Raw genomic sequence first — 14,654 nt, 5'->3', positions numbered from 1 at the left:
TGGATTAGGAGCCTACCTTACTCCAGTATGGCTTCACCTCAACTTTACTGGGGCTCCTTGCTCTGCAGAGGGAAATAGGATAATTATGCTAGTAGCTTTCCAATAAGGCAGGTAGGTGATTAGAACTGTAATCTAAATGATTTAAGGGAAGCAAAGAAAGTAGGCCTTTCTGAGGGTGGAAGACGGAAGGAGGGAGAGGATGAGGAAAAATAACTGATGGATATTAGGCTTAATAGTGATCGGTGGTGAAATAATCTTTGCAACTAACCCCCATGACACAAGTTTACCTATGTAACAAACCTGCACTTGTACCTCTAAACTTAAAATAAAAGTTAAAAAAAAAGAAGAACGTTTTGGTGTATTAGTCCATTTTCATGCTACTGACAAAGACATATCTGAGACTGGGAAGAAAAAAAGGGTTAATTGGACTTACAGTTCCACATGGCTGGGGAGGCCTCAGAATCATGGTGGGAGGTGAAAGGCATTTCTTACATGGTGGTGGCAAGAAAAAATGAGGAAGATGCAAAAGCAGAAACATGTGATGAAACCTTCAGATCTCATAAGACTTATTCACTACCATGAGAACAGTATGGGAGAAACCACCCACATGATTCAAATTATCTCCCACTGGGTCCCTTCCACAAAACGTGGGAATTATGAGAGTACAATTCAAGATGAGATTTGGGTGAGGACATGGAACCAAACCATATCATTCCACCCCGCCTGCTCCGAATCTCATGTCTTCATATTTAAAAATCAATCATGCCTTCCCAACAGTCCCCTGAAGTCTTAACTCATTTCAGCATTAACCCAAAAGACCACAATCCAAAGTCTCAACTGAGACAAGGCAAGTCCCTTCCACTTATGACCGTATAAAATCAAAAACAAGCTAGTTACTTCCTGGATACAATGAGGGTACAGGTATTGGGCAAATACAGCCATTCCAAATGGGAGAAATTGGCCAAAACAGAGGGGTTACAGGGCCTATGCAAGTCCAGAATCCAGCTGGGCAGTCAAATTAAAGCTCCAAAATGATCTCCTTTGACTCTAGGTCTCACATCCAGGTCATGCTGATGCAAGAGGTAGGTTCCCATAGTCTTGGGCAGCCCTGTGGCTTTGTGCAGTGTAGCCCCCCATCTTGGCTGCTTTCATGGGCTGGCATTGAGTGTCTGCAGCTTTTCCAGATGCACAGTCAAAGCTGTTGGATCTACCATTCTGGGGTCTGGAGGACATGGCCTTCTTCTCAAGATCCACTAGGTGATGCCCCAGTAGGGACTCTGTTTGGGGGCTCTGACCCCACACTTGCCTTCTGCACCACCCTAGCAGAGGTTCTCTATGAGGGCCCCACCCCTGCAGCAATCATTTGCCTTGACATCCAGGCATTTCCATACATCTTCTGAAATCTAGGTGGGGGTTCCCAAACCTCAATTCTTGGCTTCTGCACACATGTAGGCTCAACATCACATGGAAGCTGCCAAGGTTTGGGGCTTGCATCCTCTGAAACCATGGGCCTAGCTGTACCTTGACCCCTTTTAGCAATGGCTGGAGCAGCTGGAGCACAGGACATAAAGTCCTAGGCTGCACACAGCATGGAGTCCCTGGGCCTGGTCCACAAAACCATTTATTCCTCCTAGGCTTCTGTCTTTGTGATGGGAAGGGCTGCCATGAAGACCTATGACATGCCCTGGAGACATTTTTCCCATTGTCTTAGGGATTAACATTTGGTAATTTGTTACTTATGCAAATTTCTGCAGCCAGCTTGAATTTCTCTTCAAAAAATGGGATTTTCTTTTCTACTGTATCGTCAGGCTGCAAATTTTCCTTTTATGTTCTTTTTCCCTTTTAAAACAGAATGCTTTTAACAGCACCCAAGTCACCTCTTGAGTGCTTTGCTGCTTAGAAATTTCTTCTGCCAGATACTTAAAGGACTAAATCATCTCTCTCAAGTTCAAAGTTCCACAAATCTCTAGGGAAGGGGCAAAATGCCACCAGTCTCTTTGCTAAAACATAACAAGAGTCAGCCAGGCACGGTGGCTCATGCCTGTAATCCCAGCACATTGGGAGGCTGAGGCGGGCAGATCACGAGGTCAGGAGATCGAGACCATCCTGCCTAAAGTGGTGAAACCCCGTCTCTACTAAAAATACAAAAAATTAGCCGGGCGCGGTGGCGGGCGTCTGTAGTCCCAGCTACTCAGGAGGCTGAGGCAGGAGAATGGCATGAACCTGGGAGGCAGAGCTTGCAGTGAGCGGAGACAGCGCCACTGCACTCCAGCCTGGGTGACAGAGCGAGACTCCGTCTCAAAAAACAAACAAACAAACAAAAAAAAAAACCAAACATAACAAGAGTCACCTTTTCTCCAGTTCCAAACAAGTTCCTCATCTCTTTCTGAGACCTTCTCAGCCTGGACCTTATTGTTCATATCACTATCAGCATTTTTTTCAAAGACATTCAACAGATCTCTAGGAGGTTCCAAACTTTCCCACATTTTCCTGTCTTCTTCTGAGCCCTCCAACCTGTTCCAACCTCTGCCTGTTACTCAGTTCCAAAGTTGCTTGCACATTTTCGGGTAACTTTTCAGCAACATCCCACTCTATTGGTACCAATTTACTGTATTAGTCTGTTTTCATACTGCTGATAAAGACATATCTGAGACTAAGAAGAAAAAGAGATTTAATTGGACGTACACTTCTATATGGCTGGGGAGGCCTCAGAATCATGGCAGGAGGCAAAAGGCACTTCTTACATGATGGTGGCAAGAGAAAATTGAGGAAGATGCAAAAGTGAAAACCGCAGATAAAACCATCAGATCTCATGAGACTTATTCACTACCATGAGAACAGTATGGAGGAAACTGCCCCATGATTCAAATTATCTCCCACCAGGTCCCTTCCACAACATGTGGGAATTATGGGAGTACAATTCAAGATGAGATTTGGGTGGGGACACAGAGCCAAACCATATCGGTTGGTATTACCCATAAATAGAACTCAGATGCTGGTAACCATTTTTTTTTTAACAAATAATGTTTCCTTCATGATTGACACTTGCATATGAAACAAAACATAATCCCAAGGGACACTATCTAGCTCCATCAAGCAAAAAGTGATTCACGTAAACAACATTACCTTACTGGTGAGGAGGTGGTTTTATTCATTTTTGTTCATGAATAAATTAGCTCCTTAAAAAATTCATAGGAGAAAAATACTGTGTGAATTTGTTTTCACTTTTGTGGAGGTTATCTGTATATCAAGATGAGGGTATTATGTAATTTTAATGAATGAAATGTCACAATATATTCTTTGGTTTCATAACAAGATTAAAATTGATTCTGAACATAATATGGAGCTTCCTCTGAAAGGCAAATCAAAAGCCCTTTTGGCTTCATGAAGGCGTTGTCATAGAACAGACCTACTTAGAACACAAGTTTAGAGTCTGCTATGTCTTGTTTCAAATCTCACTTCCACTACTATAATTGCTGTGTGACCTTGGACAAGTTACTCAACTTCCCCAAATCTCAGTTTTCCTAAATTATACTCTCAAAATATTTTCATGATATTTAAATTATGTAAATGCATGTAGGGCAATATTTTGTCTGGCATATAGCACTTAATACAATTTTCATCATTACACTCATTATGATACAGGGTAAAAGAATTTCTATTCAGAAACTTTTGAGGGAGAAATAAAAGAGAAAAATCTAAAATATAAAGTATTCAGTAAATATCAGTTGGGTGGGCTTCTTTTTGCAATTATTCAGTTATCTATTTAGTTATATAATCACATAGGTGAACTAGAATTCAGTTTCCTTTTGGAAAACAATGGAGACGTTCATCTTTCTACTATTATGAGAGGAAGGATTCATTCAAGTCACTCTTTCTCTATACCTCTGTCCCTGATACCCAGTATTGAAGGGAGAGTTATTTGGGTGGTTCATATCAAAGGGGATAGGTACCAGTTCACCTAGAAACAATATGGTTTTGCATCATAGTAACCTTGATTGACTTTCTACAGTGATCCAAACAACCAGATAATGATTAGTCTGCCATGCAGCAAATGTTCTCTTCTGGTCTTCCTCTTACATTACTTGCCACTTCACAATTTTCACTAAATCGTTCTTATCATTGATATGTGGTATTTCTCAAAATTTTTAAACATCTTTTTTCTTTTGTTCAACATTTTCTGTGGATGATCTCACCCTCTCCTGTGGTGTCAAATATCACCCATGAACTGTTAATTACCAAACTTCTGTAGTGAGCCACTTGCCTCTAGATCATTCCACCTAGTTATGGAAATCAATTGAATGTGAGCTACAGGGGTTTATCTATATTGTTTAACACTATGCCCAGTGTTTATCACAATGCCAAGTGCTATGGACTGAATGTTTGTGTTCCCACAGAATTTATATGTTGAAACTTAACTGCCAGTGTGCAGATATTTGGGAGTTAAGCCTTTGGGAGGTGATAAGGTCATGAGGGTGGAGTTCTAAATAGGACTACTGCTTCTATAAAGGAGGCCCCGGAGAGCTCACTTTCCTCTTCTGCCATGTGAAGACATGCAAAAAGACAGCCATATGAGAATTAGGAAGAGAGTCCTCACCAGATATTAAATCTGCCTACGCTTTGATTTTGCACTGCCCAGCCTCCAGAACTGTTAAATAAATTGTTGTTGCTTATAAGCCTCCCAGTCTATGATATTATAACAGCCCAAACTGAAAAAGACAGAAAATGGGTACCAAGAGTGAGGTGCTGGTATAAAAAGTACCTAAACATGTGGAAGCCATGTTAGGACTTGGTAGTGGGTTGAGGCTAAAAGATTTTGAGGTGCATGCTAGAAAAAGCTTACGTGGCCATGAGCAGACTGTTGAAGGCAATTCTGGTGAGGCCTCAGGAAGAAAACAGAAGAGATATAGAGAAAGCCTGAGTTCTCTAAGTGGATACCTAAGTAATCCTGAATAGACTGTTGGTATGGTATCATGATGAAATCATAGACAGAAATGAGGAACATGTTCTTGAACATGCAGGAAAGGCCATTCTTGTTATAAAGTGGGGAAGAATTTTATAACAAAACTTTAAGAGTGCTAAAATTGGATATTTGGCTGAGGAAATATCTAAGCAAAGTGCAGAAAGAAAAGTCTGATTTCTCTTGACTGATTATAGCAATATTTGGGAAGAGAGAAATGATTTAAAGGTGGAATTGTAAATCAAAAGGGAAGAAGGACTTAAAGAATTGGAAAATTATTAGCCTGCCAATACTGAAAAGAATGAGAAACTGCTCGGGAGACAATGCTAAGGGTGTGGTCAAGTGACTGTGTGATAAGATTAGTAAGGATGGGCCATCTCAACAGAAACCAGGTGCTATTCATTAAGAAAATAAAGACACTGGTCAGCTATTTGTATAGAGCTAGGAGCTATTATTGTTCACCGCAATGGAAAAATGACCCCCTCTCGCCTCTCCCAAGGTGATTCAGGTGTCATCAGGGTTGCCACTTCCATCACAGGCTCAGAGAGCAAGGGTCCCAGGGTCCCAGGGACAAGGCAGTTTCAAGAGAGGGCACTAGAGCCTGTGGGACCTCAGGACTCACTGCTGGTGCTGGTGTTGCCTCACAGTGCAGGCTCCACTTCCCACACTCTAGTGCCGTGGTCCTAAAGTACCCCAAGTGTGGCTCCAGAGGGTCCTGGTCTGGAGTGCATGACAGCCATCAGAGCCATGATGAATGGCTACCTCCACTTAGATTTTAAAGGATACCAGGAAAGCCACAGGCATAGGATGCCTATGGAGTTGGGAATCAGGAAGCTAATGGCCATGGGTGCAGGATCACTGCAGAGAGCCCTAGTGAGGCTTCTGCCAACCTCAAAAAGCCCTCACTATGGAAATTCCCAGTGGAGCCATTGGGGTGGTGCCTCCAAAAGCCATGGGGACAGACCCACCCACAGCTTTGTGAGCCTAACTCTTGCCCAGCAAAGCTGAGGGGATTGGACTGCCACCCCAGTGGGTTCAGGAGGTGGGATCCCTGCCCCAATGTGCCTGGAAGACAGGACTTCTGTCCCAGTGGGCCTGGAGGCTAGAACATGGAGTTTAAGATTATTCATAAGCCTTTAGATTTAACATTGATTGCTCTGTTGGAGTTTGGGGTTACTTGGAACCTGTTGCCCCTTTCTTCTTTTTATATTTCTCTTTTGGTATGGGAATATCTATCATATGCCTGTCATGCCATTATATTTTGGAAACATGTAACTTGTTTGATTTCACAGGTTCATAGCTGGAGAAAAATTTGCCTCAAAATGACTCATATCTTGAGTTTCACCCATTTGATTTAGATGATAATTACATAAGACTTTGAACTTTAGACCTTTAAGTTGATGCTGGAATTAATTAAGACTTATGGGGTTATTGGGATGAAATGAATATATTTACATTTGAGAAGACATAAATGTTGGGGGCCCAAGGTTGATATCTTATGGAGTAAATGTTTGTATCTTACCCCAATTTATATGTTGAAAGCTAACACCCGAGGTAATGATATTTGGTTGGGCTACCGGGGATTGATTAGGTCATAAGATTGGATTCCTCATGAATGGGATTAGTGCTTCTGTGAAAGGAGCCATAGAAAGCTCTTCTACCCGTTCTGCCATTGTGAGGACACAGCAAAAAGATGGCCATCTGTGAACCAGGAAGTGGGTCTCACTAAACACTAAGTTTGCCAGTGCCTTGATCTTGGACTTTCCAGCCTCCAGAACTGTGAGATAAATACATTTATGTTATTTAAACTACTCAGATTTTGGTATTTTGTTATAGTAGCCTGATGGATTACAATATCAAGCACAAGTAGGGCTTCAGTAAGGATTGTTTAAATAAATTAAATAAAATAGTATTCAACATATGCCACTGTCTTTCCTCCAGCCTGCTCCTGGTTCTTAGTTAATGACACCTTGATTTACAAGTTGCCTAATTCAGAATCCTCAGGAACATATTCAGTTTTTTCTCTCCTCCACTTTCCGCATTCAATCCAATCAATATTACCTCTTTAAAACGTGTCAAAATGGTCCACATTATGCTTTTGTTCAGGATGCTATAAACCTACATTACTATGTTAACTCTTACCTGGTCTTCCTACTATGTCTTCTTACTATGTCTAGTTGACAATATGCTCACAGTCAACTAGAGTAATTTTTCTAAAAACAAAAGACAATGCTGAATATCACTCCCATTCTTAAAGCTCTTTAAAAGCTGTATTTGCTCCAGAAAAAAAGCTCCTCTTCATTGTGCACACACTCGCTTGAGAACTTTTCCAACCTCATTTTTCAACACCCCTTGATTCCCATTCTGTGGTTCAATCATGGTACATGGCTTCCTGTACTGAGCTTAGTTTGATCTTCACTACATTATATATACTTAGCCCTTTTCTCAGGAGGCTCTTCCTGCCAACTCCTTGCCTAACTCTTGGCCCTTGATCTGAGCTTGGACACTGTCTTCTTTAGGAAACTTATCTTAATTTCCCTTAGTCAAGACAAGCATAGATGTTGCCCCTTCTCCAGAATCCAGAACAAACACTTATGTCATTTAGCATTTACCCTGCGTTTCAGGTGCTTCTCTCCCCAGGAGACACTATAAGTATATTGCATACTGGGACTGTGTTTTATTCATTGATATATTCCCAGTGCCTTGGATGGTATCTAGAGAGTAATCAACACTTAATAAATATTTGTCGAATAAGTGTTATGTAGACATAGTGCAAAGTAGCCTTTGGTCAAAGCAATGATTACAGTATTAGCAAATCTGTGCTACTTTTTAAAATTCAGAACAGTTCACTTTGATTTATCTTGAAATGTTATGCAAGCTGTAACTAAAAACAACTGTGGTTGACACCAACTATAAAAATACCACTGGACAGACTGTGTTTTTAAAAACCAATATTGCAGTTCAAATCATTTATAGTGGTGTCCATATTAAATGCTCTCTACCTACATTCACTAAGTGTTGAAAGATTTGTTTACATTTTTCCTACAGATTTCTCCCCCAGCTGCTTCCATTATAGACTCCCTTACGTTGTCCACACTGCTGCTAAGTGCAAACAAATTAAACTGTGTCATAGAATCCGTCTGATTCCAGGAGTAAGCAGTCGTCCTATGAATCATCCATTGAATCATTCAGCATACCCAGCTATTAATCTAACGTGGCATTTAAAGGTACATGTTGAGGCTGGTTTGACCTATGGAGTGCTGCCTAAACTTTCTACACTTTAGAATGTTAAAATTTGAAGGTATTAGTGTAAGATAGTGCATGCCCCATCATTGTTTCTTCCTCAAACCTGTATGGAATAGATTCTAACTTCCTGATACTTCTTAACATGTGAAATTAGTTATTGTATCAGCTAGAATCAATTTTATTTTCAGATTCATTATTTTTCTCTTAGTCCAAGATATTATAGTGGACCAGACCCCAAGTGTGTAGTTATCAAATGTGTAAATTATTGAATATTTAAAATTCTTATACTTCAAAGATTGGTTATTAATCTTTATAAATGTATCCATCATCACATTTTATGTATTTCTTTTCCCATGAAAAATGCCAACAACAGAACTTGTTTTTACAGTACTCTGAGAAAAGCATCATGACTAACAACATGGGTGAGACCAGAAATGAGAAAGCTTGGTATTATTAACTGAAAGTGTGTTTCTCCCAGATCCAAATATTGAAGCCCTAAACTGCAATGTGACCTTATTTGGAGACAGAGCTTTTAAAAAGATAACTGAGGTTAAATAAGGTCATAATGGTAGGGTCCTAATTCAGTCTGACTGGTGTCCTTAAGAGAAAAGGAAGGGACAGGAGGGATACATGTGCACAAAGAAAAGACCATGTGAGGACACAGCAGGAAGGTGTCCATCTTCAAGCCAATGAGAGAGGCCATGGGAGAAACTAGCCCTGCTGTCACCTTGATCTTGGACTTTCAGCCTACAGAACTGTGAGAAAATACATATCTGTTGTTTAAGCCACCCAGTCTGTCATATTTTATTACAGCAGCCCCAGGAAACTAGTCCTGACTTTAACAATTACAGCTCCATGCTGATAAGGGAGACATCTAGGTCCTGAATTTCAGCCTCATTTATGAGAAGAGGGTAACTAGAAATGACACATTCATAGGTCCATTGTCAGATAAAGTCACAAATTATGGTGCTAGTCCTTTGTGGCTTTTTAAAGTGTTATATAATTATTCTCAGTTATCTTTATCATACTGATAGTTACTAAGATGAAAATGTGTATTACTCTTTCCTTAAATTCAAATACTTTTTCAGTGATATCAAATTTTACTTCATTTTAGGACACTAGTCAGAATAGAGGAAAGAGCCTGCATGTTGGAGTCTCACAAAAACAAAACCCAACTTTGCCAGATACTACCTTGCTGTCTGATAGCAAGTCACTAAACTTTTCAGAGTTTCAGTTTCTTTCTGTATAAAATAGATCTTAAAACTGCTATAGCACATGGGATCATAGGACTTGATGAGACCATTTAGGCCCTGGCACATGGTTGCATCTAACAAGAATGTGTTGGTAGAAAGCATATGTGTTCAGCAATGTCTAGGTCTCTTTTTGCCAAGCACGTGGCAAGCTCTATCTAGATATTCTTGTGTTACCACTTTTATTTCTTAGAGAACAAAATAACAGCAGCACAGCAGCTAAGAATTAATGATGACTCACCATTTGCCATGCACCATAACCATAATGCTTCAACCAGATTAATCTTCACAACTCCCCTATTATTACATTCATCATACACTTAGGAAAACTGAGGCCCAAAGTAGGGTTGAGATTGAGAGTGACCAAATATGACATGGGATATACCTTTACTAAAAAATATTCATTGTTTATTTAAAATTCAAATTTAACTTAGTATCCTATATTTTATTCTCACAGTTGTAGCCCAGAGAGATTAAGTAACTAGCTTAAAGTTACACAAGAGACAGGCTTCAAACTTGCTCACAGCCCACAAAGCCCTAAATCTTATTCTTATGTTTTACTGATTACATATGATTTTAAAGAAAGACCATTTGTCTAGGAGAGAAGATATTAAGATAGCAATCAACCTAGCTGATATTTGGAATATGTTCATAGATTGGGCTGATTGTAAATGAGGTCAAAGTAAAGGCTTCAGGAAAGCTCAGGGCTCTGACCAAGAACTTAGGAACCTAATTAGTCGGGAAAGCGGCTTTGACATCAGGAACAGAACAAAGTTTAAAAGCAAGGTTTCTTTTTTCAGAGTTGTTAAAAATATGTCTATTTTTTTTCCCTTGCATTGGAAAACATTTCCTGAATTGGAAATAATGCTGCAGCTGAAATAGCTGCAAGCAAGTTAGAAAATGGCTATTAGGCATGCTTCTTTGTAGAAGATTATACTCTATGATTGCTTTGTAAGTAAGTTCTAGTGGATTGAAGCCGGAGCTATTCCTGTATGTGGACAGGTCATTAAGTATCTAAACTTGTTCCTCCAGCCCTTACAGTGAAATAGGAGACTTCATGCTGCAAAGTAACCTAGAGATTTGTTAATTACACCAGTTAGGAGGTGTGAACAGTATTTACACCTTTCTGTTCCCCTTCCAGGCAGCAAAGAATGTAGCCACAAAGTAGGCAGAAAATCCAGTAAAAGACATTTTGTAGGAGGAAAATATTGGATTTAATTAATTAATACAATATATTTTTCCATCACATAAGAGCTATTTATTTCTTTTTAGGAGGACCAGAGGTGGCTTGACAAATATAGTCACCTCCCTGCTGAGCATATTTACATTTGAATAAATGAAAGGAATAACAGAAGAGCTAAATAAAGCTTCAAATAAATTATAAATAAAAACAATTTGTGATCGAGAAGTCCAAGCTAAAAGTGGGATTGAAAACCATCCGTAATTGATTCTTTGGATAATAGAAGATCATAGGTTCTAAAAACTAGAAACACCTAAAGTAACTATTAACTTCACCAGTAAAAGTATTGAAAAGTGTTGATACCAAGTAACTTAACTATAAATATGCTTAGAATTTTTGTGGCAGTCCCCAACTTTACAGAATGTGTTCCTAGAGTCTTTTTTCCTTAGTTGTTTAGGTTTTTGGAATGTATGTTATTATAAAAACACAATGAGAAATTATGGTGACTTCCCCAGGCTAGCCCTCGAAAGCCTCCTGGATTCTTAATGTTCTTGAACTGATACACTGACCCAAGAAAACAAAACTGTTTTGTGTTCTGACCTTAGTTCGCAGTGGGCCCATTCATATCTGCTCTTGTCCTCTTCATGTCCATTCTCTTGAAGAGCAGCTGCATTAATGTAGCTGTGGATTTTAGAATAAAATCCAAAATGCTTACATTAATTTAGGAAGACCCTACGATCTAGCTCCTCCTCACTCTGCAGCCTCACCTCTTCCTCTCTCCTGTTTCACTTCTTTATCAGCCCTACTGACCCTGAAGTGGTTCATCATTAGCATCAGGTTCTTCCCTGCTCAGGCCATTTGCATTTGTTTTTCTCTCTTTGTTTCCTATCATCCTGAGGCCAGTCCTTAATGCTCTCTATAAAACTGTAATCCCTCCATTATTTTTACACTCTAAATGATTTGTTACCCTCAGAAGTCTTATCCACTTATCTCTTATCTACTTAGCACCTAACACTAATTCATCATCTTTTTCAATTAGACTGGGAACTTTGTGTAGGCCAACCCCAGGACCCTATTACCTCTGAACTCCCAAGTCCTAATATAATCTGTGCCAAGTAGTGGGTACTAAATAGATATTTTTTGGATGAATGAATGAATGAATGAATTTGTGTGTGTTCCCTGCTAACCAAAACAATAGCAGCTAAAGGAGGACACTGCATTCCCTTGGCCATGTGCCTTCCCTAGGTACTTGTGCCAGTGTTTTGAGGGGATTCCAAACATTGGAGAGCTTTAGAGTTTCTTCAAGCATAGAAGACATTTCTGAATGGGTCTCCATTTATGCTGGCTGACAGAAGGTAGGTCAGGAGTTCAGTGGTAACAGGGCTTAATTTAGTTAAAATGGAAACAGCTGAAACAATGTTCGCTGTTCAAAATTAAGTAGGGCTGGGTGCAGTGGCTCATGCCTATAGTCCCAGCACTTTGGGAGGCTGATCACTTGAGGTCAGGAGTTTGAGACCAGCCTGGACAACAAAGAGAGAACCCCCACCTCCACCTCTACAAAAATAGAAAGAATTAGCTTGGTGTAGTGGTGCATGCCTGTAGTCCTAGCTACTCAGGAGTCTGAAGTGAGAGAATCACTCAAGCCAAGGAGTTTGATGTTACAGTGAGCTATGACTGTGCCATTGCACTACAGCCTGGGTGCCAGAGCCAGACTCTGTCTCTAAAAAAGGTAATTAATTAATTTAAAATAAATTAAAAATGAACTGGGCTGGATGGAGTGTTTATATTTCAAGAGATCAGTTAGAAGTCTACTATAGAGTCCTGGTTAGGGTTGGTAGCATTTTGACTACACAGATGGCAATAGGGATTGAGAAAAGTTAACAAATTCCAGAGTTTCTTAAAAGGTTAATTCAGTAGTTCTCAAACTTTAGTAGGCTTTACAGATTGTTGGGCCCTAAAGTCAGTTTCTGTTTTAGAAAACCTAGGGTGATCCCTGAAAATCTACATTTCTAACAAGTTTCCAGATGATGCTGATGCTACTGGTCAGGAGACAATACTTTGAGAACCACTGTTTTCAGTTGTGGGATTTGTGATAGATGGAACGCTGGGAATATAGAGAACGTAGTAAAAAGAATAACTTCTAGGTTTCTATCTTGAATCACGTTTGTGTCATTTACTGGAATAGGGGGCACTGAAATGTTAGAGGAGGAATTAATGAGTCTTTGGTTTATATGTTGAATTTGAGGTTTCATTTAAGACCAGCAAGAACAAAACGTTGAAAAGGTTGATGTAGGTACACGCCTGTAATTCATAAGAGTACTCTGAAATAAAGATACTTACTTCGTGGTTTTTAATATACTGATAGTAATTAACATTGTGGATGGAGACAAGTTTGCTGAACATGAGAGAATATAAAGGGAGAAGGGGACCTAGGGCTCAGCCTGGAAACTCCAAGATTAAGTGGATGTATGGAGGAGAATTAATTTTCAGAAGGAACTAGAAAAGAGTATTGAGAAAGTATAAGGAAGCAAGAACTGAGTCTGGATCCCAGAATCCAAGGTTATAGAGTGTTTCAAAAAGTAGAGCAGGACTATAGTGCCGAGATGTTAACAGAGATATGATCTGAAATATGTCTAATTGAATTGGGTGCTCAGGCAATCATTAGGGACCATAGCCAAGGCTGTTGTGTTGTAGTGACTGAAGTGGAAGTTAGATGGAGTGGACTAAGGAACAAATGAAAGTTTGTGGAGGTATAACTTGAGAGAACAGGAATAAACAATCATTCCCCTCTAAATTCTCCTTTACAGAAGAAAAACATATTTTAAGAACTTTTCTCTTATTTTTAAATAGATAAAACATTCATGCACATGATTCAAAAGGCAAAGTGACCTAAAAATATATTCATTGAGAAGTTTTAATCTTTCTTTATTCACTCAGTTTTTGACTCACTCCTCCCAACTCCTGAAGGTAATCTCTTTTATTAGTTCCCTGCATATTTTTCGAGATTCCGTAGAAGTAATTTTTGAAGGCAAGAGTAACATCTCTCTCATGCAAGTGCCCCTGTATACATTTTTAAATGCACAGTAATACATGTGCCCATGTTTTCATGTGTATACATATGATCTTCAATATCTAAGTGATAGCTGACAGCGTCACAGCAAAGAGCAGGTTCCACTCAATTGGTGCTTGGATTTTTTATCACATCTCACTTTTATTTCATTTTCTTACATACCTATCCCCCTTACACACATGAAGAGTACTTGTTCCCAATCACACTTGGCAAACTCCCTCAGTAACTTTGTCCATTTTCTCATTTTAGGGTAACCTCAATGCCAGAATGACAATTATTCTCTTTTTATGAATGCCTGGGGCAATTTATCCTGAGATCTTACATGAGAAATCCATCTTTCTTCTGATCACCTGTGGTTTGTCTTCGGCTCCACGGTCAGTTGTATCCAGGACCTCAAATGCCATGAGGCCACTCTCTGTGTCTCTCTCTCTGTTTCTGTCTGTCCATGTCTCTCTCCATGATCACATGAAAGAGAATAAGGTCCCTGGCAGCTGGGGGCTGAAATATTCATTGAATCATGACCAAAGAGGAAACAAAAAAGATAACTTCTCTTCTTCACTATAAACGCATGCTGAAAAAGGCCTGTGATTGGGTAGACTTGGGTCATGGACTCTTCCTGCACCAATTGCTGTAACTGGGAGCTTGGGCTACCCCAACTCACCTAGCTGGCATAATCTTTCCAACTCCGTGAGTTGGAAAGTGTGGATTTGCAAGCCTTTCCAGAAATCTAAGTTTAGAGTGGAATAGATGTTTTCCAAAGGAAGAGGGTTACTGTTAACATTACCCAAATGGAGAAATGAATTCAGGGAAAAAAAAATACTAGCAGATGTCCACCTTAAACTTGTTAGCTTTTATTTCTCACAGCACCCTGTGGTAAGTGATAGCACTCACTATTTGTAGTTTTATATTTATTTCAGAGTTTGTTTAATATGTGAATTCCATATCCAG

At 39.6% G+C, this 14,654-nt stretch overlaps 1 long non-coding RNA gene across 1 annotated transcript in view; it reads right to left on the bottom strand.

Moving 5' to 3' along the window:
* The window catches only part of LINC02161 (long intergenic non-protein coding RNA 2161), a 213,063-nt gene extending 201,667 nt beyond the window's left edge, over positions 1-11,396 (bottom strand). Inside the window, exon 1 of the long non-coding RNA XR_948556.3 lies at positions 11,237-11,396. This is a non-coding gene — a long non-coding RNA (long intergenic non-protein coding RNA 2161). The remainder of the gene's footprint in view (positions 1-11,236) is intronic.
* Positions 11,397-14,654: the final 3,258 nt, after the last annotated feature.

This window comes from Homo sapiens, chromosome 5, assembly GCF_000001405.40.
Source record: "Homo sapiens chromosome 5, GRCh38.p14 Primary Assembly".
NCBI lineage: Eukaryota > Metazoa > Chordata > Mammalia > Primates > Hominidae > Homo > Homo sapiens.
The sequence above is the reverse complement of the archived record's forward strand: the minus strand, read 5'-3'. Positions and strand labels throughout refer to the sequence as shown.